This window comes from Homo sapiens, chromosome 7 (genome assembly GCF_000001405.40).
Source record: "Homo sapiens chromosome 7, GRCh38.p14 Primary Assembly".
Lineage (NCBI taxonomy): Eukaryota > Metazoa > Chordata > Mammalia > Primates > Hominidae > Homo > Homo sapiens.
Window position 1 is genome coordinate 57,384,995 of NC_000007.14, and position 27,977 is coordinate 57,412,971.

The following is a 27,977-nucleotide window of genomic DNA, read 5'->3' on the forward strand; positions in this document are numbered from 1 at the left end:
GAGGACTTTGGAACCATGAACCCACTCCCACACTCAGATGCCAGGGCCTGGGGCAAGTCCCTGAGCCTCTTGGAGCCTCCTGGGGCCTCATTCTTCCCATCTGAGGAATGGGAACTCTGCTGCCTACACAGGTTGCCGGAAGGCGGAATTGTACCCTCTCTACTCTACTTTTGAGACACAGGAGGGGCTAACTCTGCCTTCCTGGGGTGGCATCCTGGTCCCTCGAGGCCCCCTTTAGGGCTGAGGGCTCCTCTTTGCCAAGCAGCTCTTGTCTCACAGACCCTCGCGCCAGCCCTCAATTGTCCCAATTCTGCTGATGAGGACTTGGAGACGTGGCCAGGTACATCACAGAGCTGAGGCCATGCCAAGCTCGGCACCCTCCCAGTCGAGGTGCCTCCCCCTTGCTCCCCTCTCAGCCCTCAAAGTCACTGGGACTCATCATCTCAAGCCAGAAAGTGGGGCCAGATGGTGGCAGATCCACGGGTGTCTGTTGCATCATTAAGTGAGGGTGAAAAATGTTGCTTGTAATTAAACAAGGGAACCAGGACAGCAGCGGCCCCCGCCACAGCTGGGGCGGCTCAGGAAGGGAAGGAAGACTGGCTGAGAGTGAGGGGTGGGGGAAGAAGCCTGTGGAGGTTGTGACCTCTGTTCCTCCCCTAACATCCCAGCTCCACCTCTGCCAGCTGCATGGCCTTGGCTCCGTCCCCTCCTCTCTTTGTGCCTTAGTTTCCAGACAACAGCAAGAGCGGGGCTTGTCCTGGTCTTGTCTCACCTGTCCCCACCTCAGGGCCTTTGCACTTGAGGTGCCCCCTCCCTGGCAGGTGCTTCCCACACCCAGATCTTCCCAGGGAGGCCCCTCCACCTGCTCCAGGTCACAGCTCAACTGCCTCCTCCTCCTAGCGGCTTCTCGAGCTCTCCCATCTGGTCACCTGCTTCTGTTTTCTCCACAGCTTGGCTTGGTGCCCTGCACACAGTAGGTTCTCAATAAGTACTTGTTAAACAAATGGAGATCCCGGTGTCATTTGTCCCTTTTATCTGTCATTCTCTTTGCTCCAAAGCCATGAGGCCATTTCACCAATGAGGAAAACTGAGGCAGGTGAAAGAGGACACACCTTGCCAGCCTCCTCAGGTGAAGCACTGGCGATGTGGACAGCCACTGAGCTTGATCACCCCTGGGTTCAAATCCTGGCTCTGCCTCTCCTTGGCAGGGGGACCTTGGACAAGTGACTGTGCCTCTCTGTGCCTCAGTTTCCTCATGTGTAAAAATGGATGGTTATATTGAACTCTCAGGGTTCTTGCGAGAGTCAAAGTGAAAGTGTTAAAGCAGGTGGTAGCCACTAAGTACCAGAAATAGTGTTCCATAAAATATCTGCTGAATTAAGGAGGTGAGAATCATTGTCCACATTTCACAAATGGGGGAAACTAAGGCACAGGGAGGTGAAGCTAATTAAACAGTGGAACTGAGTATCACCTAAGTCTATTTAACTCCAGAGGCCTCTTTTGTGCAATGAAAGTAACATTATGGAAAATTATAGGCCTCAGGACTCCCAAGTGATGGGAGGGCTAGCGTGTAAGAGGATGACTGGACAGGCACAGCCAACTTCCATGTGGGGGGGACAGGCAGGCAGCAGAGATGGCCCTGCCAGGGCCCACATGAAGGATGGCTGGCCATGGCCGGTCTCCACTCTCTGTCTTTCTGATATTCCATTGAGGAGTCTTGCTCTGTCACTCTCAGTCCATGGAGTTTGAGCAAAGCTGACCCAACTTCTAGCTTCAAGGAGGTCCATGTGACTGAGAACCTGGCCATGGGCCACGCGGCATGGTAAGAGATGGCCACATGATCCAGTCACAGCCCGTGAGAGCCAGTCTGGGGGCTTTGATAGGAATGGTTGAGAGAGAGTGCTGGGGTTTCCCTCTGGGTTGCTGGGCTGATAGGATCATATTAGTATCAGTGGGAGTCATAGTCACCGTGGCAGTAGCAGCAGCAGTTGTAGTAATAACAGCTAGCACTTATTGAGCATTAGGTGTGTTGGTTAGTTAGTTAGTTATATTGATTAACTCCCTCTTCCAGAGAGACGTGGAAAACGATATCATTCAAACACCTGGATCTAGATATGCCTGAAGCAAGCACCCATGGAATTTTTATGTGACCCAATAAATTATCTTTCACCTAAACTGTTTTTAGTTGGATTTTTGTTCCTTTCAACTGAGATAGCCCTGACTAATCCACCTGCCTTCTGGACATTATCTAGGCATCCATCTCCCCATTATTACTGTAGCTGAAGCAGTGCGCCCATTAACTGTTTTATGCTTGTCGCTGACTCACAGGTTTCCATTGGAGTTCTTGGTTCACCCTGCCCAAACAGAGGCCCCAGGCCTACTCCTTTTCCCATTCACACTGAGCGGGAGAGAGGGCGTGTAGGCGTGAGTGCACACCTGTGTTCCAGGAAGGTGCTCTGTGTGGTTTGCTTGGCCCCCAAACACACCTCGTTATTAGTGTGATGACTGCTACTAAATAGTCCTCCCGAGCAGATCAGCTGCTTTGCATAAATGGTGATCTCACCAAGACTTCCTGACAACCCCACAAGGCAGGTATTGTCATCCCATTTTAAACATGAGGAAAATGAGGTTCAGAGAAGCAAAGCCTGAGTCCCACAGCTCTAAGCAGCAGATCCTGCACTCCCTAACTCCACAGCTGAGCCCCTTCCTTTTTTTTTTTTTTTTTTCCTGAGACAGAGTCTCGCTCTGTCGCCCAGGCTGGGGTGCAGAGGTGTGATCTTGGCTCACTGCAAGCTCCGCCTCCCGGGTTCATGCCATTCTCCTGCCTCAGCCTCTGGAGTAGCTGGGACCACAGGTGCCCACCAACACGCCCGGCTAATTTTTTTGTATTTTTAGTAGAGATGGGGTTTCACTGTGTTAGCCAGGATGGTCTCAATCTCCTGACCTCGTGATCCATCCGCCTCGGCCTCCCAAAGTGCTGGGATTACAGGCATGAGCCACCACGCCCGGCCAGCTGGGCCCTTTTCAAGACCCAAGTTCACGGACTCCGGGTGCCAGAACTCAGGGTCAACTTGGTTTATAATATGTGTGACAAATCTATGTGTATGTAGAGTCTATGAGTGTGTGTGTATAGTACATGTGTCAAATCTCTATGTATGCAGAGTCTATATGTGTGTGTATAATATGTCTCCAATCCACACATACAAATAGAATGCAAATAAGGAAGTATTCTATAGGTAATGTATATGAATATTGAATGTGTGTCTCATATATGTGCCAAATCTATATGTATGCAAAATATATATGTGTGTAACATGTATGTAGAACCTATATAAATGTACAATATATATGTGTGTGTATAATATGCATGTAGAATCTACATCTATGTAGACATATATGAGTGTGTGTGAAATATGTGCATAGGATCTATATCTATGAAGGACATATATAAGTGTGTGTCTCATATGTGCATAGGATCCATAGAGGACATATATGAGAGTGTATGTGTGTGTCTGCATGTGTGTGTGTGTGTGTCTAATATGTGTGTGGAATCTCTGGTTTCACCTGCCCTGTATCTCTAGGCAGCAGGTACATTGTGGAGTGGAAGAAAACAATGACTACCTTTTCCCACCTCAGCCTGCACCACCCTGGACCAGCCACTGTTCCCTGCTCCCCTCTGGCCTCCTGCAGTCACCTGGACTCCCTGCTCTGCCCCTACCCCAACCCATTCTCCCCTTGGGCTGGAGGGATACTATTAGAACCGAGGTCAGGTCAGGGCTTTCTGCACAGAGCTTTCCATGGCTCCCACCTCTTTTAGAGCAAAGCCAAAGTTCTCGCAACATCCTGCAAGGCCCTGCCTGGTCTGGGACCTCCCTCGTGGCCTCCCTGACCTAACTGACCCTGTCTCCCTCTTCCCCTTGGCTGCAGCTGTGCAGCCTCTTTCTCTGGGACCACGCATGCTACAGCCCAGCACCTGCGCACTTGCAGTTCCTGCCCCCATGCAGATCCCCTGCCCCAGATGTCACTTCGTTCAAGTCACAGCTGAAACGTCACGTCCCCAAAGAGTCCTCACCAGATTCTCTCCAGCTCCTTCCCCTGTGTGGATGTTCCTAAGATGCACCCATGTGACATTCTCCCACCACCCAACACAGTGCCTGACATGAGGTAGGTGCTCAGCCACTAGCTGATGGGTGAAGGGGCAAAACCAGCCAGCGATCAGGTCAGCGCTTGTCCTGCTGAACCTCCTTTCAGGCCACCCAGGGTCTGCACGACCTCACGTGGCCTCTGCCCACCACTGTCTTCCCACAAGCTCACCCACTCCACTTCCTTCTTGTTTGGGGCTAGAAGTTACCAACAGAGCCTTTCTCTGCCTACATTTAATGGCTTATTTTTACGAAAAAGCAAAAAGGGAAGTGTCAGCAGCAACATCCTTCATCTCTCATTCCAGAATGTTTCTCTGTCACTACCGGGCCTCATGGGGAAATTCTGCCTTCTGGGACAGTCCCGCCTGGTGTGCAGGAAATGGTGTTCCAGATAGCTGAAATTTCTGGATAACTGAGGATAACCTCCGGAATCAAGGAATGGAAAAAGCGTGGCCTGTGGTTGACTCTAACCCACCAAGGAGCTCTGTTAGGCCAGCACTTTTGTATTTTAACAGCTCTAGCAAAATATAGTTCACCTAACATAAAATTCACGCTGTAAAATTGTACAATTCAATGGTTTTAAGTACGTTCACAGAGTTGGGCAACCATCACTGCAATCAATTTTAGAACATTTTCATCACCTCCCCAAAACACCCCATATCCCATGCCTACTCCCCATACCCCCTCACCCCAGCCTCCCCAAATCACCAATCTACTTGCTGTTTCTATAAATCTGCCACTTCTTGGCATTTCCTAGGAATGGAATCGTGCCCTATGTGGCCTTTTGTGTCTGGCTTCTTTCACTCAGCATCATGTTTTTGAGGTTCATTCACATTGTAGCATGAATTCGTAGTTCATTCTTTTTGTTGCCAAATAATATTCCGCTGCATGGCCCCACCACATGGTGTCTACCCATTCGTCCAGTGATGGACATTGGAGCTCTTTTCACTGTGCAGCTATGATGAATTGTGCTGCTATGAACATTTGTGTGTCAGTTTTTGCACGGACATATACCTCTGTATCTCTTGGGTATATACCTAGAAGTGGAATGTCTGGGTCATGTGGTAACTCAATCTACACTTTTGGGGAATTGCTAGACTGTTTTCCAAATCGGCTGTACCTTTATACAATCCCACCAGCAAGATATGAGAGTTCTAGTTGCTCAAACCCTCACCAACATTTGCTAGTGTCTGTCTTTTTGATCATTTGCCATCCCAGAAGGTGCAAGGTGGTAGGCCAATGCTTTGCCTTCATTAGTGGGAAATGTTTAAAAATTAGGAGAGTTTCTTATTTTTTAATTTTTATTTTTTGAGACTGAGTCTCTCTCTATTGTCCAGGCAGGAGTGTAGTGGTGTGATCTCGGCTCACTGCAACCTCTGCCTCCCAGATTCAAGTGATTCCTCTGCGTCAGCCTCCTGAACAGCTGGGATTACAGGCACCTGCCACCACGCCCGGCTAATTTTTTTTTTTAATTAGAAATGGAGTTTCTCCATGTTGGCCAGGCTGGTCTTGAACTCCTGACCTCGGGTGATTCGCCCACTCATCGGGCTGAGTGCTGGGATTGCAGGTGTGAGCCATTGCACCTGGCCTAAAAATTGGGAGAGTTTTTATCAAACTCTCAGGATCCCTGGCTTCTCTTGAGGAAGATGGCTTTTTGGCATGACTGGGATGCATTTCCCATGGAGGCTGAGTCACAGCCACCCTCCAGGCCACCACAGTCCTCATCCAGCCAACTCCCTTGTTGAAGGGACTTCAGGGGTCCTTTGACATTGAGGTCTATAACGTGTTTGAGCCCAGATGAGGTCGACAAAGATGAGGAACTTTCATCACTTGGCCTTTCTGGAATCGACTTTCCCTCAGGCAGACTGGGGGTTGAACCGGGAATACATTTTCCTACATAGTGTATCCCACACTGACACAGGGTACAGGTTAAGGATCCTTTATCCAAAATGCTTAGGACCAGAAGTGTTTTGGATTTCTATATTTTCCAAATTTTGGAATATTTGCATATACACAATGAGATATCTTAGGGATGGAGCCCAAGTCTGAACATGACATTTACTTATGTTTCATACACACCTTATACACACAGCTTGAATGCAATTGTATACAATTTTTAATAATTTTGTGCATGAAACAAATGTTGTGTACATTGCACCATCAGAAAGAAAGGCATCCCACGCCTATCTCAGTTACCCATGTGGACAATCTGTGGTTGTTTGGCATCACCCTTATTCCTGACTCTGAATTTATATGCTATCAATAAGCAATCATTGCCTTACACTTACTCACACATAAGTACCCATGGTAAAAGGTATGACATAGCATTAATACAGTGGAAAAATAAGGAGTTCAAGATGATCAAGCAGAACAGCAATATCAGCAGATACGGAGCTCAGCCGTGAAACAACAGGGACAACAGACAACCGTGGGCCTTCACTTACGGCGTCAGGTCGGCACTCAAAAAGTTTCGGATTTGGGAGCATTTCGGATTTCAGATTTGCGAATTAGAGATGCTCCACCTGTATTCTCATGGTGATCCTGGAAGGGATTCATTGTCCCTGTCTCCAGATGAGAAAATTGAGGCTTCCTGAGGAGAGAGCACATGGCCTGCCCTGGGTCACATGCTGGTGAGGGTCCAGGCTGGAATTCCAGGCAGCTCCTCTGACCTCCCAGCTGTGTGGTTTTTGGTTTTTGTTTTTTTGCAGAGACAGTGTCTTGCTGTGTTGCTCAGGCTGGTCTTGAACTCCTGACCTCAAGCAATCTCCCATGCCCACCTCCCAAAGTGCTGGGATTATGGTGTGAGCCACTGCACCTGGTAGTCCTGTGCCTTCTGTGACATTACATGGTCCATGAGGTCCCTGGGTCTTTCTCACATCCTCACACTGCGGTGGGGAGCCCAAGATGCAGGTCTCTTTCTTAAAAGAATTGTGTTTGAGCAAAAAAGCCCAGAGAAGTCACCATCTTTCCACCTCAGGATCTCACACAGTTCTGATAATTATAGGTACAAGGCAGTCTCAATTTCAAATGCTCAAGTCCTAAACAGATTGATTGTATTCACTGGACTACGAGTTCCAGCGGGGAGGGGACCTTACGTGTTTGTTCACTCCCATGTCCCTTGTAAGAAGCACCTTCCAGGCACAAGGTATCTACTATGGAAATATGTGTCTGATGAACGAATGGAGCTGGTGATACATTTATTTATTTTTATTTTTATTTTTTTGAGATGGAGTTTCACTCTTCTTGCCCAGGCTGGAGTGCAATGGTGCGATCTCAGCTCGCTGCAACCTCCATCTCCCGAGTACAAGTGATTCTACTGCCACAGCCTCCTGAGTAGCTGGGATTACAGGTGCCTGCCACCATGCCTGGCTAATTTTTTTTGTATTTTTAGTAGAGACGCGGTTTTACCACGTTGGCCAGGCTGGTCTTGAACTCCTGGCCTCAGGTGATCTGCCCGCCTTGGCCTCCCAAGCTGGTGATACATTTAAAAATAGAGTTTCCAATATTTTTTTCCATAACTTTTTTTCAAAACTTTTTTTTCAGCAAAGGTGTTTTGCTAAATGTCTAATCAAACATGCTTGAATGTATCTACCCTACTGCTTAGCTTCAGATCGCGACTCCTCCTTATAAGCAAGTTACTCAACTTCTCTGGGACTCAGTCTCCTCACCTAGAAAATGAGGACAAGCATGTAAATACCTGAAAGTCAGTGCAGGTACCTGTAAAGCTCTCAGGACACTGTGGGAATTAGTGGCTGTATTCATTATTATTATTATTATTATTATTATTATTATTATTATTTGTTTTCATCTGAGAGCCAGGCCAGGGGATTGGGAGACAAACTTGCATCAGGTTGCTAACTCTGGGTGACTCAGATTCTTGCCTGCATCATGGAGAGTTCACAGGAAGGGTCATGGTGTCCCCTGAGAAATGAGAAGGAACCAACTGGTCCATGAATGTGAGGGGAAGTGACTGAATGTTGGTTAGCATGAGCATGCACACTCGGTTGAGTTGTTCAATCCATCCAGTGACAGCAAGGCCCTCGGGTACACTGGGGGAGCCAGGTACATGCTCAGGGCCCAGTATAGAGGGGCCAGGCCTCAATGGCAGAGGGGATCCCCGCAGCCTAGAGCTGGAGGCTCCTAAGCCCTGGAGACATGGGGGGGCCTTTGGAAGGGGGAGGCACGAATGCTGCCTTGGCTGTTTTTGGCTTGATGCTGGGGTGTCCCTCAGCCTCCCACCTGCCTAGAGAAGACAGTCATGTTCTTCAAAAGATGGAGATCTGGCCGGGCATGGTGGCTCATGCCTGTAATCTCACACTTTGGGAGGCTGAGGTGGGCGGATCATTTGAGGTCAGGAGTTTGAGACCAGCCTGACCAACATTGTGAAACCTCATATCCACTAAAAACACAAAAATTAGCTGGGTATGTTGGCATACTCTTGTAGTCCCAGCTGCTCGGTAGGCTGAGGCAGCAGAATCGCTTGAACCCGGGAGGTGGAAGTTGCAGTGAGTTGAGATCGTGCCATTGCACTCCAGCCTGGGCAATAGGAGTGAAATTCCATCTCAAAAAAAAAAAAGATGGAGATGCTGGGATTACTCCCAGACATCGGGAGATTCTCAAGGGCTCAGTCTTCTGGCAGTTTCTTTACTTGCTTTGGTTGAATTCTTCATTTCCACCCAGGTCTCACCCCTCCAGGCTGCCAGTCTCTCTCTGCACAGGCCACACACATGGGGCCTGCCTGAGTTCCTTCATCCCTCTCCCCAAGTTATAATAACAACATGATAACAGTAATAGCTCATATTTACTGAGCACTTACCATGTGCTGGCATTGTGCCCATTACTTTACTTGAAATAACTCATTTAATCCTTGTAACACCCTGTGACATTGGTGGTTTTTTACCATCCGCAGTTCACACATGGAGAAACTGAAGCCCAGAATGGTGCAGTCTGAACTCCGCTAAGGAGCTGGCAGGTAGGGTAGTTTCTGGCAGTCCTCCTGCCTGAACCCTGAATACATCTGCAGGCCACAAATATGCCAGGCAGCCAGATGAAGCCTCTGGTGCTCAGCCTCCCTGGCAGTGAGAATCAGTCCCTCTGCACTACTCAGAAGGCAGGTGAGCAATGTCAAGGGCAATTTGGAAGCAACCACTAATCCATAGATTTTGGCACACTGGTCCAATCCTTTTGACTGTAAGGAATAGAAACTCAACCTCAAGAGGCTTTAAAAGTAAGGAAACTTATTATCTCATAGATCAGATGTTTGGAAGTGATGGGGAATCAGAGATTGGTTAATTTGGCAGCTTGGTGACATCAGCAAAGACTCAGGTCCTAGAACTCAGGATTTGTCTTCCAGCTGGCTCTCCTCATTGACTCAAGATGGCTGCTGCTGCTCCAGACATCACAGCCCTTCTCTAACAACACTTGTGAGATAAAACCTCCCTCTCCTTTTTTCTTTTATCTAAGCACTCTCATAAATAATTTTTTTAAGTGTGGGCAGCATTGGAAACTGCACATAATGATGTTTTATAAATGCCTTTTTAAATTGTAGTAAGAACATTTAACATGAGAGCTACCTTTTAAACAAACTTTTAAGTGTACACTATGGCATTGTTAGCTATAGATACGATGTTGCACAGCAGCTCTCTAGAACTTATTCATCTTGCATAACTGAAACTTCAAACCCACTGAACAGCAGCTCCCCATTCCTGCCTCCCTCAACCCCTGGCAACCACCTTCTACTGTCTGCTTCTGTGAGTTTGGCTGTCGGAATCATGCAGCATTTGTCCTTCTGGGACTGGCTTATTTCACCCAGCATAATGATCCAGCAATATCACCCCTAGATATTTATTCAAAACGACTGAAGTCACGAGCCAAGATCGTGCCACTGCACTCCAGCCTGGGCAACAGAGCGAGACTCCATCTCGAAAAAAAAAAAAAAGAAAAAGACTGAAGTCAGGCTTCAAAGAGATATTTGCACTCCCATCTTCATTACAGCATTATTTACAATAGTCAAGATGCAGAAACAACTCAAATTTCCACTGAAGGATGGATGAATAAAGATAATGTGGTATATGCATACAAAAGAATATTATTGGCTGGGCGCGGTGTCTCACACCTGTAATCCCAGCACTTTGGGAGCCTGAGGCGGATGGATCACCTGAGGTCGGGAGTTTGAGACCAGCCTGACCAACATGGAGAAACCCTGTCTCTACTAAAAATACAAAAAATTAGCCAGGTGTGGTGGCACATACCTGTAATCCCAGCTACTAGGCAGGCTGAGGCAGGAGAATCGCTTGAACCTGGGAGGCGGAGGTTGCAGTGAGCTGAGATTGTGCCATTGCACTGCAGCTTGGGCAACAAGAGCAAAACTCTGTCTCAAAAAAAAAAGAGAAAGAATATTATTCAGCCTTCAAAAAGAAGAAAACGTGTATTATACAAAGTGAAATAAGCCTCTATCTCTTTCGAAGAGCAAGGAAACCTTTCCCAGAAGCCTCCAATAAATTTCTCAACACGTCTCATTGGCTAAAATTGCATTCTGTGTCCAGTCTAAATCAATCACTGGCCTTGTTGGGGTGGAGGACACTGTGACTGACTTAGAGCAATGAAAATCAGTCCCTTGAGGCTTGGCTGAGGCCCATGTTCCTGGAGCCCCTGGGAGGGGCGGGGGCAGAGAGTTATTGTGCAAAATGAGCAAAATAGGTTCTGTTAGGAAGGATGAAGTGGGAGGATGGCTGAAATAGGAATAGCTCATTGCCGCTATCAGCATATCTGCTTCTTGCTGTCAGGATCTACTGGACTGCTGGCGTTTCTGGGTTGTTTTGAACTGACTCTTCTGCTTTCTCATAAGTTCTATAAGCTCACTCATGTTCCTCTAACAAATTTCCTTCCCACTTAAGTTAGCCAAATCTGGATCTCACTGAGGCCCTAAATTTCCTAAGTGATCATCTTCAGCAGCATCATCACCGAACCATTTTGCTGATATTTATTGAGCACTTGCTATAAAGGGAAATCTTGAGTCTCTTTGTATTAGTCCTTTCTTCATTGTACTCAAAGAATACCTGCAACTGGGTAATTTGTAAAGAAAAGGGATGTATTTGCTCACAGTTCTGCAGGCTGTACAGGAAGCATAGTATTGGCATTTGTTTCTGGTGAGGCCTCAGGAGGCTTCCAATCATAGCAGAAGGTATAAACCAAAACATTTCTGAGACAGGTCTTGATCAATTTAGACAATTTATTTTGGGCTGGGCGCCATGGCTCATGCCTGTAATCCCAGCACTGGGAGGCTGAGGCAGGTGGATCACTTGAGGCCAGGAGTTTGAGACCAGCCTGGCCAATGTGGTGAAACCCTGTCTCTACAAAAAATACAAAAATTAGCCATCATCCTAGCTACTCAGGAGGCTGAGGCAGGAGAACTGCTTGATCCTGGAAGGCGAGATTGCATTGAGGCAAGATCACACCAATGTACTCCAGTCTGGGCAACAGAGTGAGATTCCATCTTAAAGAAAAAGAAAGTTTATTTTGCCAACATTAAGGATGCATGTCTGGGAGGTAGGTCTGTGTCTTTCTCCAAAGATTATTTGAGGGGTTCAATATTTAAAAGAGAAAGGACAGATATTGGGAAAGAGAAGACATTTTTAAAAGGTGTGAATAGATAAGAGACAAATGGTCGCATTCTTTTGAGTCTTTAATCAGCCTTTCTTTTTTTTCTTTTTCTTTTTTTCTTTTTTTTTTTTTTGAGGTGGAGTTTTGCTCTTATCACCCAGATTGAAGTGCAATGGCACCATCTTGGCTTACTGCAACCTCGGACTCCTGGGTTCAAGCGACTCTCTTGCCTCAGGCTCCCAAGTAGCTGGGATTACAGGCGACAACCACCACACCCAGCTAATTTTTGTATTTTTAGTAGAGATGGGGTTTCACCATCTTGGCCAGGCTGGTCTCGAACTCCTGACCTCAGGTGATCCACCCACCTCAGCCTTCCAAAGAGGTGGGATTATAGGCATGAGCCACCATGCCCGGCCTTTAATCAGACTTTCACCAAATACACAATATACATCTGGGGGAAGGGTAGAGGAAGAGTCACTTAGGCTGTTTTCTGTCTTCTTTCCTTCCCCTTCCCCTTCCCCTTCCTTCCTTCCTTCTTTCTGTCTTTCTTTTTTTCTTTCTTTTTCTTTCTTTCCTTTTTTTTGGACAGAGTTTCGCTCTTGTTGCCTGGGCTGGAGTGCAATAGCACAACCTCAGCTCACTGCAAACCTCTGCCTCCCAGTTTCAAGTGATGCTCCTCCCTCAGCCTCCCGAGTAGCTGTGATTACAGGTGCCTGCCACCACACCTGGCTAATTTTTGTATTTTTAGTAGAAATGGGATTTCACCAGGCGTGGTGGCTCACGCCTGTAATCCTAACACTTTTGGAGGCTGAGGCAGGCAGATCAGCTGAGGTCAGGAGTTCAAGACCAGCCTGGCCAACATGGCAAAACCCCATCTCTACTAAAAATACAAAAATTAGCCAGGCAGTAGTGGCATGTGCCTATAATCCCAGCTACTCTGGAGGCTGAGGAAGGAGAATTGCTTGAACTCAGGAGGCAGAGGTTGCAATGTGCAGAGATTGCACCACTGCACCCCAACCTGGGTTACAGAGCAAGACTCTGTCTCAAAAAAAAAAAATGAAACGGGTTTCACCATGTTGGTCAGGCGAGTCGTGATCTCCTGACCTCAGGTGACCCACCCTCCTTGGCATCCCAAAGTGCTGGGATATCAGGTGTGAGCCACCACCCCTGGCCATAATGTATGCCTTTGTCTAGCTCTGGGAATGTGCATTTTTCCAGCAGAGGAACCAATCAAATATGTGTTTGTCTCAGGTGAGCAGAGGGATGACTTAGAGTTCAGTAAAGTTCTTGGTGCTCACAAGGAATTTCCTAGCAGGCAAATTGGGTGAGAGGTATGTGGATTTTTTATTTATTTATTTATTTATTGAGATAGTCTAACTCTGTAGACCAGGCTGGAGTTCAGTGGCATGATCTCGGTTCACTGCAACCTCCTCCTCCCAGGTTCAAGTGATTCTCCTGCCTCGGCCTCCCAAGTAGTTAGGATTACAGGTGTGCACCACCACGCCTAGTTAATTTTTTTGTATTTTCAGTAGAGACCAGTGTATCATCAGGTTGGCCAGTCTGGTCTCAAACTCCTGACTTCAGGTGATCTGCCCACCTCAGCCTCCTAAAGTGCTGGGATTATAGGCGTGAGCCACTGCACTTAGCCTCTCTCCCTGTATCTTCACGTGCTTGCAAACCCAAGAGGGAGCTCTGGGGCCCTTGGTTAGGGTCAGGGCCCCAGAGGCCCAGGGTCAAGGCTATGGCTCCAACTCAAAGATGTGCATCCCTGCAAGAGAGGCTGCATCCAACAGGCATGGAAGAGGCTCCACTGTGGCCTGCTCGAATTCCTGCTGTGGAAAGCAAGAGGAGGTGTTCCTTGAAGAAACAGGGGGATCCCACCGATCTCAGGGGTTCTGTCCTGGCCTGAAGCCATGGATCGTCCAGCCTGTGCTGGGGTGGGGAGCCGACCTTGCCGTTCTTGGCTGGGGCTGAGGGTGAGGGTCCCACTTCGCCAAAGGCCTAGGCCGGGGTTCCAGCCACAGGCCCCACTGGGCAGCACCGGGCCCCGCCCCGCCCCACCTCTCCAGGCCTGGTGCTCACCCTCAGCAAAGATAGTGAGGATGGTCTCAGACACGTCATGCGACCCATCCACCAGGCTTCTCCCACACTGCTCTTAGCCCCACAGATGGCAGCCGAGAGGTGGAGCGGAAAGTATGACCCAGTGGACAGGGGTGACCTGGTGACGAATCCCTAGACAGCGCAGATGAGGCTGTGGGGCAGCAGGCGAGTAATCTGTGGTGAGAGGGGCTCCAGGGAGTCGGAAGACAGGCTTCTTCCCCCACAGCTGGAGGCCTCCACATCAAGAGAGTAAGGGGTCTTCCTCCCCCAGCCCTGCCCTCCTGTGGCCACAGGGCCTGAAATGCCTCCATTAGAGGGAGCAGAGAAACCGCCTGGGTGAGCTGGGTTCAGTGTAGATTTGGCAAAAGCTGGGACAGGGGACCCCATGACCTTGTGACTTGTTAACATTCCACCATAGAAGTAACTGGGGGTGTCTAGTGGCCTTGGAGTCCAGCTGGGGAGACAGGGGAGAGGAGGGGGAGGGCTGGGGGAGGCAGCTGAGGGTCCTGGGCTGTTCCAAGTGGGAGACCTGGGGAGGGGGTGTCTGGGCAGGAGTGATTGGTGATATTTCAGGGGGCAGGTTTTGGGTGGGCACCTGACAGTGGGGGCTCACCACCACTACCACCCCAATGGCCAAGGTGATGTGCCTTCTCTGTGGGGGCTCACCACCACTACCACCCCAATGGCCAAGGTGATGTGCCTTCTCTGTGGGGGTTCCTTACTGAACTGGTGAACCTGGACACTGCCATGAAGGACTGTGTGGATGGGAGTGAGCCTGGGGCAGGCAGGTTGGGGACCGGGATCCTGAGGTTTGGGAGGAAACAGCCTTGGACTCAGCCCTTCCATCTCAGCAAGCCTCCTCTTGTGTGAACCCCACCGTCCTCCCCATGCCCCCTGAGCTGGGGCGTCAGGCCCATTTTACCTCTGAATGGTGGAGGCTCCAGAGCAGCTGCCAGTCCCTGTTCCCTGAGTGGTGAAGCTGCAGAGCTGCCTGACTGCAAAGCTGCAGGAGCCGCAGGAGCTGGACTCAGCCTCTCCCTCAGGCGGTGCCCACGGAAGGAGAGGGAAATTATGCCCCTCCCAAGTCAGGCAGCTCCTAAGTGGCCGAGCATTTTCTTTGTATACTGGGCCTCCGTTTGTCTGTCTGTTGTCAGAGAGTGTTGGGGCAGAAGGTCCCTGAGCTACAGCTCCCACACCTCCTCGTCTAGAGCCCAGAGCCTGATGCAGGTCCCAGTGCTGTTCTATGCACATTTTTCACCCCTGCTGGCCTGGCAGTGTGGGAGGGTGTGGGGATGGGGGCAAGTCATGGGCCAGGGTCCTTTCTGAGGGTCTTTGGCTGGCTGTCTTCCAGGGAAATGTGATCAACACCCAGAAAGGAAAAAGGGGCGCAGCTGGGGCCCTCACTTTGGGGGAGGATGGGGATGTGGAAGTCAGAGACCCCCACCCACTGACCCTGGGTAGAACACTCCCCGGCTCCATCCTCTGCAACCTGGATTTATTGGGAGGGTTTGATACACAGAGGACGAGACCCATCCCAATGGAGGGTGTGGGTAGGGGACAGGAATCCTGGACAAATTCCTAGCGGGGGCTGTTTCTCTGTTTATATCCAACTCTGAGAAAAGGGTGGGGCTGCATGGGATTGGAGAAGAGGGGACCTACTAAGAGAAAAGCCCTAGAGATCAGCCCCAGTTTACTCCGTCCCCAAGGGCCCTTCGGCATCTTCCACCCAGGCCCTGTCAGCCTCCTGTTTTTCCCCTCTGGCTCCAGGAGATTAAAGTCCTCCAAGAAATGCAGCTGCTTCCGTGACAAGAGGGAATTATCATCTTCGGACTCAGGAGGTATGGGGTTGGTTTCAAGTCCGTGGAGCCGCACAGTCTGATTGAGAGGTGAGAGCCTAGCGGATTGACAGAGGGTGGGCGGAGACTCTGTCTTGTGGTCAGTTTCAGACATCCTGTGGCCACGGCTCCCTGGTCAGCAGCAGGCCCTGTTGAATGGGCAGGCACTGGGAGGGAGGCCGGAGGTGTGGCTCCTGGAGTCTCACAGCTGCTGCTGTGTCCTACAGTTACAACCTGTCCTGCTGCTGAGCCCCATCCCAGTAGGCCAGCCACACCCTCAAGGCCAAGAATACCAGGCCATGAAGAATCTCAGGTCTACTGAGTGCCCAGGTGGCAGGGGCAGAGTGCCTCAGGGCTCAGTGAAGTTTGGGCTGGGCTCCCAGCTCCACTGTTATCAGCCCTGTGACTGGGGCAGGGGACTCACTACTGTAATACTTGAGCATCATTGTCATAATTTTAATGTGTCTGTCCAATCCTTTTCTCTTTTTTATCTCCCTCTATCATGTACTACTGATCTCTGTTAGTATTTTTGTTCAAATAAATAAACATATGTTATATAGTGTGTATTATACTTTCTCATGATTTCTTCACTATACTGTATGACTCCACTCATACAAGGTACTTAAAGTAGTTAAGTTTACAGAGACACAAAGTAGAAGAGTTATTCCTGGGGCTACAGGAAGGTAGGTGAGGTGTTTAACGGGTACAGAGTTTCAGTTTTGCAAGATGAAAAACACTCCCTATAAATATGGAGGATGCTCGTAAAACTGTGTGACTCTGCTTAATTCCTTTGACCTGCACACTTAAAGACTGTTAAAATGAAAAAAAAAATTGTTGGCCGGGCGCAGTGGCTCAAGCCTGTAATCCCAGTACTTTGGGAGGTGGAGGTGGGCAGATCACCTGAGGTCAGGAGTTCAAGAACAGCCTGGCCAACATGGTGAAGCCCCATCTCTACTAAAAGTACAAAAAATAGCAAGGTGTGGTGGTGCATACCTCTAATCCCAGCTACTCAAGAGGCTGAGGCAAGAGAATTGCTTGAACCCAGGAGGTGGAGGTTGAAGTGAACCAAGATTGCACCACTGCACTCTAGCCTGAGCAACAGAGCGAGACTCCATCTCGGAAAAAAAAAAAGAACAGACTATATCTATCTGCAACAGCATGAATGCATATCACAAATATAATGTTCCATAAAAGTAAGTAAATGTAAAAGTGTACATACTATATAATTTGATTTATACAAAATCCAATAAGCAGACAAAACTGAGCTCCTGGCTTTCAGTAACACTGGAGTAGCTTGTTGAATTAACACAGATTATAATGATGAAACTTGAATAGTATATTATATATTGTTATAGAAACACATCTATATAATACAAATATGACCTACGTGTGAGTAAGAACTGAATGAGGATTTCAGCTGTGCCCACTATAGGGGAGATAGGTGTTGACGTTTGAATCTAGCCCAATTAACACCATTTGTAAACAATAACACTGCTTTTCAAAGGTACACAACATAATCGAGAGTCTCTATAATGATTCTTTACAGTTTTAGTACACAACATTAAAATTCATGAGACGTGTGAAGAAACACGAAAATGAGATCCATACACAATTTAAAAAGCAGGCAGTAGAAGTGATCCTAAGATATTTAAGATGTTGTAATTCAGGATGTTTAAAGGCAGCCATTATAAATCTGTTCATGGGGGTAAAGGAAAATATTCTAATCATGAATGAAGAGCTGTGGAACCTCAGCAAAGACATGGAAATTACGAAACAATAGGAAGATAAGGAAATTTAAAAAATACTTTTGAGCTTATTCAAAGATTAGAAACAGAACACAGAGCAATAGAAATTGTCCATTCTGAATAAAAGAGTGAAAAATCTTAAAGAAAATGAAGAGTCTTAGAGACCTGTGGAGTGATTGAGTCCAAGTTGAAGAGGGGACAGGAAAATTAAATGAGGTACAAAGTAAATCACCAACTAATAGCTGAAAACTTCCAAAATTTGTCAAAACCCCCCAATTTTTATACCCAACATGTCAACACACCCCTCCAAAAAATACAAATAAATCCATACCAAGGCCATATTGTGATTTAGAAGACTAGCAGGGCAGAGCTTTCTATTGACTTGCTGTGATTTCTAATTTTAACTACTTAGAAGAATGAAAAATAGGTTCTCCTTAGAGTTTTTTTTTTTTTTTTCTTGGAGAAAGTCTGACTTAGGCACAGATGACTGACAGTTATTAAAGGCCAATGACTTTCCAGCCTTCTCTTAAATTTCCAGTGTCTTACGTTGGAAATTATTTAAATTCGTTTCTTCCAAATCCTGCAGTAATACTGATGCTCCAGAAAGATGTCCCACGGAGATTCTGCTCTTGTGCGTCCCTCCTGCACGGAGCTGAGGCTGTGCCTCCTCTAGTTTCATTAGCGTGTAGTCGTGGGGTACTTCGAGTTAATCTGGAAAACTAAATGTTAAAATGGATTCAGGCCGGGCACAGTGGCTCACGCCTGCAATCCCAGCACTTTGAGAGGCTGAGACGGGCGGATCACTTGAGATCAGGAGTTCGAGACCAGACTGGCCAACATGGCGAAACCCCATCTGTACTAAAAATACAAAAATTAGCCCGGCAAGGTGGCGGGTGTCTGTAATTTCAACTACTGGGGAGGCTGGGGCAGAACAATTGCTTGAACCCAGGAGGCGGAGGTTTCAGTGAGCCCAGATCGAGTCAGTCACTGCACTCCAGCCTGGGCTACAGAGTGAGACTCCGTGTCAAAAAAAGAAAAAAGAAAAATGGATTCAAAGAATTATCACTGTTAAGTTCCACCAGCAAATTATTAAACGTGGTTCCAAAGGGATATTTAAAAAGGGAAATTAAGTGTTTCCATGAAGGTCCTATTCACAGCAGAAACGCAGACACTGTTCATGACCTCACCACACAAACTTCCCTTATGTGTTGGGAGGGACCAAGGGGCTCTCTGGCCCTGCACCTGCGTTAATTACGGCCGGGAGGTCCACACTAGGACCCCAAGGTCTGGGAACCAGCCTGGATCGGGGGCAGAGAAGCGGTGGATGTGGCTCCCAAAGTGTCTTAGGGGCTCCCTTCCCTGTGGCTGTTTCCTGACTGGATGCAGCAGGGTCAGGCCTTTCGCTGTGACGTTTTCAACTCTTTGTCAGAGTGGCAGGAGCGTCCCTGTGAGAGGCCTGACCCAGGTGTGGGTCATGCAGCCAGCCCGGGGTCCAAGGGGCACTCCTGGGATGAACAGGAGGATTTGCGACAGCCTAGAGGATAGAGGAAATGGTGGCTTTGAAAAGGCAAGTGCTAGGTTATCAGGGAACGCATATATCCATTTCTGGCAGCGAACGGACGGTTTCAGACACTCACGAGGGAGCTTCCCGCGTAGGATGCCAAGAAGTCGGAGAACAGTCAGACACCTGGCGATTAGCCCGTCCTACGCAGGGACTACACTGCGCATGTTCAAAGGGGGCGTGTCAGGGGTGGGGCGAGACGGAGGGGCGGTGCCGAGGGGAGAGGCAGCGCAGAGGGAAGGAGCGGGGCGAGGAGAAGGGGCGGGGCGAGTACTGCTCCAAGATATGGCAACCGTGACAGCTTTGCGAGTAGCTCCAGGTCCCCTGCTGCTCCGTGAGAAATCAAACTTCTGGCAATGACGAAGCATGAAGCCAGCATCTCAGGGAGAGGTAGTGACATAATTACACGATAAGACAAGCCGCCTGGTCTCGCTGTCACTTGGCAGGCAAGAGAGGTTCGGGAACAACCAGGCTCCCCTTTGGCATGGCAGAACTGCTCTGGACTCGGGAAGGTGTGGATTGGAGGGCGGGAGCTACGCCTGGCATACTGGGACTTGTCATCTTTGATTAGCTTCCAGTTTTTTAATTGCAGGGCGACCGGATTACAATCCCAGCCAGCATGAACATGGGGCGGCGCGCAGTCCTGAAGGGGGAAGCCGGGCTGTGCCGGCCTGGCTCTGCCGGCCTGGCTCTGCATGCTGGGAGCTGTAGTCTCTTCACCGCTCCCGCCCGTTGTTTCAAGCGCTTCGGGACTGCAATCCCAGCATGCCCCGGTCTCAGGGGCGGGGCGCAGTTCTTGCGGGAGGAGCGGGGCGGTGCGCTCCTGGCCACGCAGGCTGGAAACTGTAGCTCTTAACGGTTCCCCGCCCGTTGGTGGCAAGGCGGCTGGACTAGAATCCTAGCAGGCGATATGCGAGAAGGCGGGCAGCCCAAGAGGGTTGGGCAGGGCAGTGTGGATCTCGCCGCTTCCACAGCGATGCTGGCTACTGATTTCGGACACCTCCTTGCCATGGGATGTGAGTCCGGAGAGGGACAGGAGGGGCAGGTCCGGGTTGGGCAGTGAGGAGGGTGTGACGCCGCGAAGTGCACCTCGCCCTTGTCCAACTCGGACGGGTGTGGTCCTCACCTCACTTCCCGCTGCTAGGCTGGGTTCCCTCTCCCACCTGCACCCGGGGTCTTTCCTGGACATCACGCCTCCTCCAGCCCAGGGAGCCACCTGCTTTCCTAAGCTGCTGTGGGAACTGGCCTGCGGTCCAGGCACTGTCCACTGTGCCGCTGCCCTCTTTTCTCTCCAGCCAGAGCGCAGTGCAGCCGCTATGGGGAGAAATCCGCCGCCCGGCCCGCCAGTGCACAAGTTCAGAGCTTTGCGTGGGGCAACATGCTCTGTGGCTTCATGAAAATGTCACCCTCACCAGCGCCTTTTTCGCGGATGTGGATGTTGAGGTGGCAGAGAGGGTCATTATTGGTTTACCCAGGAGATGCTAACAGCAGAAGAGAAAATCTCACATCCCAGGCGTGTGTCTCTGGTGCGCCATTTTCCCCCAACCCATTTGGTGGAAAGTTCCCCAAATAGCTACCTAAAGATGAAGATAGTTTAGGCATTTTACACGTGACATCATTGGCCTCATCTCAACCGAGGCCTGACTGGGCAGTGTCTCAAAGACACAATGGCAACCTGATTCTCAGGAACAGGTGGTGCTCCAGCTTTGTGTGAGCGACTTTCAAGGTATAGAGCACTTGGGGAGTCTTTGAAACTCCTCAGGCTTCACAACTTTGCTTTGAATGGAATGTTCATCACCCCCGGCACTCACGGAGGTACCTTTACTCTCTCGGGCTGATCTGTTTAATTTTTCTGTCCAGACAATGGAAACTTCTGGGAGCACTTCTGGTTTCGTGTAGCTTCCTAATAATTGATGTCCCTTAATTCCAGGTGTCCTCAGGGAAAGTTCCTTTGATTCTGGAATGGCTCCAGCTTTTATGCTTTTGTGTTTAATCCGTAAAAACCAAGGTGTTAATCTACATAAAAATAAGACCTTGTTCATATCACACATTCCAACAGGCTTCATTTCTGATTCCTGAATGCGGATTACTATTTTAAAAAAGCCTAAAAACTCTGGTCATGGATATTAGACACTGTTATTGTACTTTGTGAAGAATTTACTCCTTCAGGATCAATTACACACGGGCTCATCAGCACCTTTGTCAATAAAGGAACAAGAACCATGTGGCATCTATGGATGTGGTGAGGTGAAGTATAGGGAGACCACAGCATAACAGCTCTTCCCTTGTTTTCAGTAGAGTTTGTGGGGTCAAGTACCTGCATTCTTCCCCCATCCCTCAATATTCTCATTCTACTCTTGACTGTTCCCTCTTTAGGTGGGAGTTTCTAAATACACTCGTCCGCAAGTGTTGGTGGGGATGTTGTAATGTGAGTTCATCCATCATCCGTCACCTTAAAGATGAATGGAGAGGATTTTGTGATCTGTGTTCAAGAGGCACTGCTGTTGGGTGGGTGGCTGCAAAAACACGTGATCTCAGCTGTCCCCAGCAGCTGCCTCACAAGATTGGTCCTGATGCAGCCACAGCTGCTGTTCACAGAGCCAGGAGCTCCTTGCAGTTTGGTGTATTCTGCTGAGATTTGTGGCTCTGACCCTCCTCTGCTCACCCCATTCCTGGTAGTATCTGCTCAGCTGCCTGGTTTGGTCCAGTGTTTCCTGGGAGCCTGTTGTGTAACTGCATTTCAGAGGGTCTTTGGGGATTCCACCCTCACTACACCAGTCACTCTACACTGGCCATGCACTTAGCTTCTTGGGGCCCTGTGTGTGTCCTCTTCCAGTGGAGCTGTGAAGAGTTCTAGTTAGGGATAGATCTCATTCTCATGCACCTCAGGCTGCTTCAAAAGCTGATCATCTCATCTTTGGACACATGGACATTATTCCTTTTGTGTATTTTGAAGTCTGATGCTGTTTTTTTTTTCTTTTTTAAAAAGTAATGTGGACCCTTACAGTAACAGTAACAGTCATTTTTAATTATCTTTGTGAATTTAACTCTGGCAACAATTTCATGAAGTTGACATGTGGTTCTCATTTTATAGGTGAGAAAACTGACACTTGGAGAGGTAGAGTAGCTTTATTTACTTCACACAAGCTTTTGATGAATTTCAAGTCTCAACCTAGAAGTCTTCCTCTAAGGTATGACTGTGGCATATTCTTTGTGTTTCTCTGCCAGCATCCCGAAGGGGTCCACATCCCATTTGGACTCCATTTTCTTCTTAATGACAGGAAACTTCTAGAAACAGGCCTTCAGTTGGGGAGAGCACTTGCTGGCCCTTGGCCTTCCCTATCCTCCGCCTTCCCCTTGGCAGGGCTTAGGTGATTTGAGGGAGCTGGAGCAGCGACCAGCACTTACGTGGAATGCTTGTTGTTATGTAAAGATAACACCCACTCACTTTTTGAGGTGCGATTTTTTTGGTTCTAATTATTCCTCTGGGATTTCTCTTCCAGGTTCGTGCTTTCACGCACCTGTAATTCAAATACTGATGAAAACAAAACTATTGCCCTCCTACCAAATGGTAACAATGTGTGTATGTTTTTCTGTTTCTAATTATAAAAGAAATGCATGCTGTTTGAATAATGGCAGATCATAGAGATCTTTATGTAACAAAATTCTCCCATGTCTTCCTCTTCGTTCCAAACTCACTCCCTTCTTAGAAGGAATTATTATAGCTTGGTGTTGATTCTTCTGGATGTTTTCTATAAATTTATAAATACACATAAAGTTGGCCAGGTGCGGTGGCTCATGTCTGTAATCCCAACACTTTGGGAGGCCAAGCAGGGAGGATCCCTTGAGCTCAGGAGGTCGAGGCTGCAGTGAGCTGTGATCATGCCATTGCACTCCTGTCTGGGCAACAGAGTGAGACCCTGCCCCCCCCAACAAAAAAAAGAAGATAAATACATGTACAGTTTTTGAACACAAATTGTATCATACTATATTTTTTAATTTTGCTATTTCACAGGCAATATATCATTTACATTATTCTATATCAATGCATGAGATTCTAACTCCCTATTTTTAATGTCTTAAATGTATTCCAATGGGCATACAAGATTTGTTTCACTGTTTATTCTTTTATAGAAACTTAGATTATTTCTAATTCCATTGTAATTAAAAAATGCAGTGATAAGATTCTTGTACATAATTTACTACACTGACAACTAACCGTTCAGTTTATCTTGCCTTCTTTTAGTCAGAGAATATGTCACGAGTTTAATATTTATTTTATGATTTGATTCATAGGGAAATTAATGTTATGACTGGATAAGACAATTGTGAAGAAACTGCACTTCGAGGTTGTCTGTCTCCGTATTCCGATGGAAAAGGCTGGACTTTAGAAGCATTGCTCGCTCCTTCAGTTTCTAACAAGTCAGTATTCTCATAGCAATTTAAATTTAAATGTTTGAATTGTTTCTCCTTCCCTCGTTCACCTGAAACTTCTGACTCCAGGGTTTTTCAGTTGGGGTTTAGAGAGGATAACTCCCATATCGCTGTTGTATCTATTTCTCTTCAGCATCTGGCTGCATGTGCTAAAGATCATAGAATTAGACCAGGTCCTGTATATATTTTGGGACCAAAAATTCAAAGTAATCAACTCAAGACAGGAGTCTACAACTTTGATTCTTAACAAAAGATTTCCTTTGATTTCCCCAAATCTTTATGATTCCTAGAAGAAATTCACCCATGGGTGAAGCATGTGGTTCTGTTGAATAACATTTTGTTGGGGATTTCCACGTCGAGTTTCATGAGGCATACTGTTTTCCAGGGTTTTTTTTTTTTTTTTGGTACTGCCTTTCTCTGATTCTGTTGGAGAGTAATACTAGCCTTCTAAAATATATTGGGAAATGTTCCCTCCTCTGCTACTTTTAGACAATATTATACTCATAATGACAAGTTTTCTGTAAAAATGCTCTGAAAAAAAAATGTAGGGTGGGCTGGGCATGGTGGCTCATACCAGCACTTTGGGAGGCCGAGGCAGGCAGATCACTAGGTCAGGAGTTCGAGACCACCTGACCGACATGGTGAAACCCCGTCTCTACTAAAAATACAAAAATTAGCCAGGCATGGTGGCGTGTGCCTGTAATCCCAGCTACTCAGGAGGCTGAGGCAGGAGAATCACTTGAAACCAGGAGGTGGAGGTTGCAGTGAGTCAAGATCACGCCATTGCACTATAGCCTAGGTGACAGAGCAAGACTCTGTCTCAAAAAAAAAAAAAAAGTGTAGGGTGCCTTTTCTCTTTTGTACTGGGTAATATTATTTATCTTGATTGGTATTTACCCATATAGCTGCCAATGGTTTAATGAGCCCCCATCTTCTACTCACCAATCTTACCCCTACTTCAGCCACTCCTCCCTACTCTCTGGTACTCAGCCCCGTGTTTTTCTCTCCTCACATTCTCAACCCTATCTCTTTAATGTGGGGACTTCCATGCGTTGCCTATATCCAACCACCCTGCACTGCCAGGAGGCTCTGCAGGCTCTAAGCTGGGGCAGCAATGTGGTCCCCTTAGTTTCAGCCTCCAGACCTCAGTCCTGTGCTCCTTGCAGATGCTTCTAGTGTCTGGAAACATCTGGTTCATGTAGTTGGTCTGGCTTCCTATGTGTTTGGTTCCAGAGGGAGTCTGTTTCTTGCTCTTCCACCATACAGAGAAGGCAAAGCTCTGAATTGATTTTGAAATCAATTCTTGATTATTTCTTTTGGAATGAAATACATTGTCTATTACTTTATGATGACATAAATATTGTAGCTTAGTTTGTGACAGTTAGAGTTTCATTTTTATTTATTGTTTTACAGGCCATGCCACCATGCCCAGCTAATGTTTTATTGTTTGGCAGAGACATGGTCTCACTCTGTGGCCCAGGCTAGTTCCAATTCCTAGGTTTACACAATTCTCCCACCTTGGCCTCCCAAAGCGCTGGGATTACAGGCATGAGCCACTGTGCTTGGCCAATAGTTAAAATTTTAAATTATTATGTACAATACTGTGATATGCCATATTTAACTTATTCAGAGACAAGGCTTTAATAAAAATTACTTTATGTTAGAATATTTTTCTTTAATTTTTTCAGATTAGTTTTCTTTTTTTCCCCCTAATCTTTTTGTTCTAGCCTCAGTCGCCTTTACCCTGAGTTTCCATGTTTCCATCCTGGGCAGCAGAGGCAGCTCCATGGATGATGGGCCTGTGGCTCTGTGTACTTGGAGCTCTTACCCAGTAAGACTTTGTGACCAGGAGGCCTCTTTTCAGGACAGATCACCTGCATGTAAAACAAAGAGCCCTTCCAGGCCAGGAGTACTTAGCCAAAATCTTTTTGCTTTCGCATTTTATTTTTGTTTGTTAGGGTTTTTTTTATTTCTTTGAGACAGGGTCTCTGTTGCCCAGGCCGGAGTACAGTGGGACGATCTTAGCTCACTGCAACCTCTGCCTCCTGGGTTCAAATGACTGTCTTGCCTCAGCCTCTCAAGTAGCTGGGTTTACAGGCTCACACCATGGTATCCTGCTAAGTTTTGTATTTTTAGTAGAGACGGGGTTTCACCATGTTGGCCAGGCTGGTCTCAAACTCCTGACCTCAGGTGATCCACCTGCCTCGGCCTCCCAAATTGCTGGGATTAATGGTGTGAGCCACCACAGCCAGTGAGTTTTTGAGTCATTATCCATCATTGGACACAATAAATATCCAGACACACAGATGTTCTCCAACATGTCTATGAGTTTAGAGATTGGACATTTCTTTTTCCAGGGATCCTGGTTCTTGACCTTCTCATTTAAGGTTTTGTCATCTCCCAGCAGCAGACACAAGGTTTCCTTAAGCCCTGTCAGTGTAGAGGGGAGGGTCTTTGAAAAGTACCAAGGATACACTGTGAGTATTTCAAGATTTATCCACATTTCTCTGTCTCTTCCAGGCCAGTTCTTGGAGATACTAGGAAGCCAAGAGTTTCCTCCAGGAATGGAGATTCCTTGGAAGTGAGGTTCACCTTGAGTCAAGAAAGACGAATCACACACGGTCAAAGGCAATTGCCCAGGGTCTCAAGAACAGAGCCAGAAAGAAGAGCTGGGGCCGGCGGGATTGTGGGGGTCCTCTCTCCCACCTGAAAAGCTACAGCTGCCTGCCGATCCTCTCAAGAGGAGACCTCTCTGGGCTCCAGCACCTAAAACAGACAAACCTGGGAGGATGCTTCTCTCTTCTGTGTCACACGTGTCCTGGAGAAAACCCATGTATCTGAATGACCAAAGAAAAGTATGAGAAAAAGTGCAAAATCTGTGCCAGGCCATTCAGTGTCTGGCTGGGGCTCTGGGGTGCACATGCATTCCAAGAAGACTGAAGGGTGCCAAGCCTGCAGGAAATGTCCATCAGACCTGCCTCTCACACCTGGAGTAGGACTGCCCGTCCAGCTTCATGATGCAGAACTGTCTTTAAAAGGTGACTGCAGATATGGAGAGAGGGAATTCTAACCCTGATAGAACATGACCAGCTGTCCTGCTGGGGAAAGCTGCATCTACCAGTGACACGCTGCTCAAACTGGCCCAGGACACACTCTTACTACTTAAGGAATAAGCCCCACATTTGCTCTTTGTGGGTAAAAGGAGAGGGTGAGAGAGGAGGGGAGTGTCCGCACAGACATGAGAAGCCTGCAGATCCAGATGACCCCTTGCTGATCAGAATATGAAAGATCGATATGCGGAAACAATGACCCCATAGCAGATGAGCTTCTAGAGCAGGCTTCAACCATGGGTCATCTGGACCCACTGGTGGAGAAGTCTGCCCCCACTCTATGTTGATGGTCTGGGGGATACCATTACTGAGACAGATTTAAGAAATAATCTCTACCTGTTGGCGAAATCTGGATGGTCACTTGTGCGAGACAGCAGTGTGCTCTCATCAGCTTTCCACAGGGCAGGCTGCGGAAATGGTGCTGAGAAGTCCTTTTGTAAATTGATTGTCCATGGCTGCAGACTTACCATCAAATGGAAGAAGATTCCAAGCTCTCAAAGAAAAGGAAAAATAGAAGGATGGAACCACAGACTCTGGGATCCTGCCAGAGCCTATTTCAGTGCTGCCAGGAGCTCCTCCTCCCCCTGCAGCTCTGGTCCCCACCTTGGAGCCTCCTTCCAAGGAGTGAGACTACCTTTCTGACTTTTTCTGACCATAGACACCTTTTCTGACTTTTTCTGTCCTTGGCACCTGCTGAGGACAGCAGACCCAGGGACCCGGGCTCCTGGGCCCATTCTTGCCCAGCTTCTTCTTGATCATGTGACTTGAAGGCATTCTTGTGCAGTGGAAGCAGGGCCCCAGGACCATCTGATAGATTGATGGTCTCTGGCCTCTGCTCCACTGATGGTCGGATGGTGGCCACTCAGGGTGTGAGAGCCTAGCCATCGCTGCTTCCTTGAGTTGAAGAGGTTGGAGGCTGGTCCACCTGCTCCTATCCCACCCTTGGCGATGTGGATGGTTGCTCTTTGAGCCTGGTAACGTCACTGCCTTGGCCCTGCCAGGCATGCCTGCCTTGTGGGGGCCCTGCGTACCCACACACTACTTTAAGGGGCTTGCTCTTCCTTGGGCCAAATTCTAGTTTTGGCCAGTGCCCCAGGAAGTTCAGTCCCCTGTTTTGTTATCTTGGCTATTTCTGGGGCACCCGTGGTTCTCCTGGGTCCCTTTTCTCCCAGGGCTTGGGCTGGGCTTGGCATCTGTAGGTCTGGGATGTTTGCCCTGTGAGGGAGGCTCTGTCACACAAGTGGGCAGGCATGGGGACATGTGACAGGCTGCTGGCTGGCTAGGGCTCTGAAGATGCCACAATCCTTCTCCTCTACAGCAGCCTCTGAGTCCAGCTTCCACATTGACACTGATTTCACCGGGCGCAGGAGCTGCCTGGGGTTGTCTGGGTGCTGTCTTGGCTCCTTTAAGGCTGTGCTGCTCAGTGGCCCCTGAGAAAGGTCAGGTCC

The 27,977-nt window shown here is 48.0% G+C and overlaps 2 long non-coding RNA genes and 1 other non-coding gene across 3 annotated transcripts; 2 read left to right on the forward strand and 1 right to left on the reverse strand.

Annotated features, from left to right (window-relative positions):
• Positions 1–17,002: 17,002 nt before the first annotated feature.
• Positions 17,003–19,125, reverse strand: LOC105375299 (uncharacterized). Its single transcript, XR_927305.3, has 2 exons — positions 19,062–19,125; positions 17,003–18,143 (listed from the first exon to the last, which is right to left on the reverse strand). It is a non-coding gene; the product is annotated as an uncharacterized LOC105375299 (long non-coding RNA).
• A 647-nt stretch (positions 19,126–19,772) lies between these two features.
• MIR3147HG (MIR3147 host gene) lies at positions 19,773–27,153 on the forward strand. The gene is made up of 3 exons (NR_120505.1): positions 19,773–20,001; positions 23,282–23,407; positions 25,940–27,153. It is a non-coding gene; the product is annotated as an MIR3147 host gene (long non-coding RNA).
• On the forward strand, positions 20,031–20,096 carry MIR3147 (microRNA 3147). The gene has a single exon (NR_036102.1). It is a non-coding gene; the product is annotated as a microRNA 3147 (primary transcript).
• Positions 27,154–27,977: the final 824 nt, after the last annotated feature.